Source organism: Homo sapiens, chromosome 3 (genome assembly GCF_000001405.40).
Source record: "Homo sapiens chromosome 3, GRCh38.p14 Primary Assembly".
NCBI lineage: Eukaryota > Metazoa > Chordata > Mammalia > Primates > Hominidae > Homo > Homo sapiens.
In genome coordinates, this window is record NC_000003.12 from 67141821 (window position 1) to 67144829 (window position 3009).

At 43.0% G+C, this 3009-nt stretch overlaps 1 annotated feature.

The window, feature by feature from the left end:
* Positions 225-726: an enhancer, noted in NCBI's record as "H3K4me1 hESC enhancer chr3:67192469-67192970 (GRCh37/hg19 assembly coordinates)". NCBI's record gives its function as "activates a minimal SCP1, AML or CMV promoter by ChIP-STARR-seq in primed H9 embryonic stem cells {active_cell/tissue: H9 hESC(primed)}" and the evidence as "EXISTENCE:reporter gene assay evidence [ECO:0000049][PMID:30033119]".

A 3009-nucleotide genomic window follows, 5' to 3' on the forward strand; every position in this document is an offset into this window, starting at 1 on the left:
GCCAGAGCTCTCTTGCATGAGGTGTCTGTCGACCCCTGCTGGGAGGTGTCTCCTAGTAAGGAGGCACAGGGGTCAGGGACCCACTTGAGGAGGCAGTCTGTCCCTTAGCAGAGCTCAAGCGCTATGCTGGGAGACCTGCTGCTGTCTTCAGAGCCAACAGGCAGGAACGTTTAAGCCTGCTGAAACTGCTCCCACAGCCACCTCGTCCCCTAGGTGCTCTGTCCCAGGGAGATGGGAGTTTTATCTGTAAGCCCCTGACTGGGACTGCTGCCTTTCTTTCAGAGATACGCTGCCCAGTGAGGAGGAATCTAGGGAGCCAGTCTGGCCACAGCCACTTTGCAGAGCTGTGGTGAGTTCCACACAGTCCGAACTTCTCGTTGGCTTCCTTAACACTGTGAGGGGAAAACCACGTATTCAAGCCTCAGTAATAGTGGACGCCCCTTCCCCCATCAAACTCTATCTTCCCAAGTTTACTTCAGACTGCTGCGCTGGCAGCGAGAATTTCAAGCCAGTGGTTCTTAGCTTGCCGGGGTCCATGGAATTGGGACCCACTAAGCGAGACCACTTTGCTCCCTGGCTTCAGCCCCCTTTCCAGGGGCATGAACGGTTCTGTCTCGCTGGGGTTCCAAGTGCCACTGGGGTATGAGGGAAAAAAAAACTCCTGTGGCTTGCTAGGTGTCTGCCCTAACAGCTGCCCAGTTTTGTGCTTGAAACCCACAGCCTTGGTGGTGTAGGCACACGTGGGAATCTCCTGGTCTGTGGGTTGCAAAAACCGTGGGAAAAGCATGATGGCTGGGCCACATAGCACGGTGCCTCACAGCTGGGAAGGGGAGGGAGGTCCCCAGCCCCTTGCACTTCCTGAGCGAGGTGACGCCCCACCCTTCTTCTGCTCGCTGTCCGTTGGTTGCACCCAGTGTCTAACCAGTTCCAATGAGATGGACCAGGTACCTCAGTTGGAAATGCAGAAATCACCCACCTTCTATGTGGGTCTCACTGGGAGCTGCAGACTGGAGCTGTTCCTATTTGGCCATCTTGCCAGATCCTCCACAATGGCTTTCTTAAGAGCTGTTACGTAAAATGCCAGAAAATGTTTCCAACTTGGGATTTTGGCATTTGCTCTTCTCATGGCCTGGATCACTCTTCCTCCAGATATTCACATGGCTGGCTTCTTAACTTTAGTCATAGCTCTGCTTCAGTGCCACCTCCTCCAAGAAGCCTTCCCTAACCTTTCCCTTCCCCAAAGAAGTGCTACATGTGAAAGCACCACACATCACACAACTCTTCTTTCCCTTACCCTGTTCTGTTTACTTCATAGTACTTACCACTAACATTTTGTTTAAAAAGAAAGGTCAAAAATTTTTTAAAAAAGAAAGGAAAAATTAAAGAAAAACTAAACTCTGCTTTTAATTTATCATAACTGACTTGGCTAATTCAGCCAACTTGAGTCTTTAGTAGATTATTTGAGCAAATGATCTACTTTTACCAACTAAAAGTTATTAGGAGATTTGGGAGATATTGCTGGTCTACGTATCATCACAATAAGGATGAGAATAGCGATATTGCCAAGTTAGGTATCTTAAATGTATCTGACACTTTTCTGAAATTACATGGATAGGTGTCACTGGTAAAATCTCAAAATGCAGGGACAAAAATCAAAGCAAACTTTTATTTAAAAATCTCCAGGACAGGCTGGGTGCAGTTGCTTACTCTGGTAATCCCAGCACTTTGGGAAGCCGAGACAGGTGGATTGCTTGAGCTCAGGAGTTTGAGACCAGTCTGAGCAACATGGCGAAACCCTATCTCTACAAGAAACTCAAAAATTAGCCAGGCGTGGTAACACACACCTATCGTGTTAGTTACTTGGAAGGCTGAGGTGGGAGAATTGCTTCAGCTCAGGAGGTTGAGGCTGCAGTGAGCCATGATTGTCCCACCGCACTCCAACCTGGGTGACAGAGCAAAGCAAGACCCTGTCTCAAAAAAGAAAAAAATCTCCAGTGCAAACATAATTTGAAATTATTTCTTATAGTACCTGAATCACATCAGTAAGTCGTTGGAGAAAGAAATGGACTTTTTCACGCTCCTGACATTGTACTTGCAATCCAAACAATAGAAGTACTGTATAAAACCTTAAAATGTGCATATACTTTGATCTATTAATTCTACTTATGGGTCTCTATCCCACAGAAATATCTGCTTATATAGGCAAATATATAGGCATATGCATATTCACTCTGTCATTGTTTATAACAGCAAAAATAGAAACACTTTAAATGTCTAGCAATGGAGAACTGTCGAAATATATGATGGTACAAACACATAATGGAATTCTCTCCAATAGTTTAAAATAATGTAGACCTACACTTTCTAACATGGGGAGATGTTTGTGATTTATTACATGAAGAAATGGATGTTAAAAATTTGTGTGCAGTAAATCCTTCTGTTAAAAATATTGTGTGTATAAATACATATGTGTGTATGTATATATATGCATATAGACACATAGTTACCTACATACAAGCATAAGAAAAAACTCTGAAAAGACATTTTTTTGAATTTTAATAGATTTGTACATGTGTAAATTATGGGTGTTTTAAATGTTTTCTGCGTATTTTTCTGTAACTTGTAGATACTTTAAAATAATAAGTACACACCAATTTTTGGAATAAAAAGATTTAAACATATATGATGATCATGTCATGGAATTACAGATTATAAGAGCTGATGGGACTTTGGAATTCATTAAATGCTATTTCGTTCAAGAGATGCTTCCATTTTACCTAAGAGGAAACTAAGACCCAGAAGAGAAATTGAATTACCCAGGACTCAGATTTATGTCTCTCTCTCTCCAGTCATTCTCCCATTTTCACACCCCAGCAGGTGCTCAATTAATGCACTGATTGATGTAGTTGGTTGGTATTGATGTGGATGAGTCTGAGGGTGATCTCATTCCACTGTTGAACTTTGATAGAAAATTTCACAGTGGGAACAGAGATAGTTCAATTTTTCCCC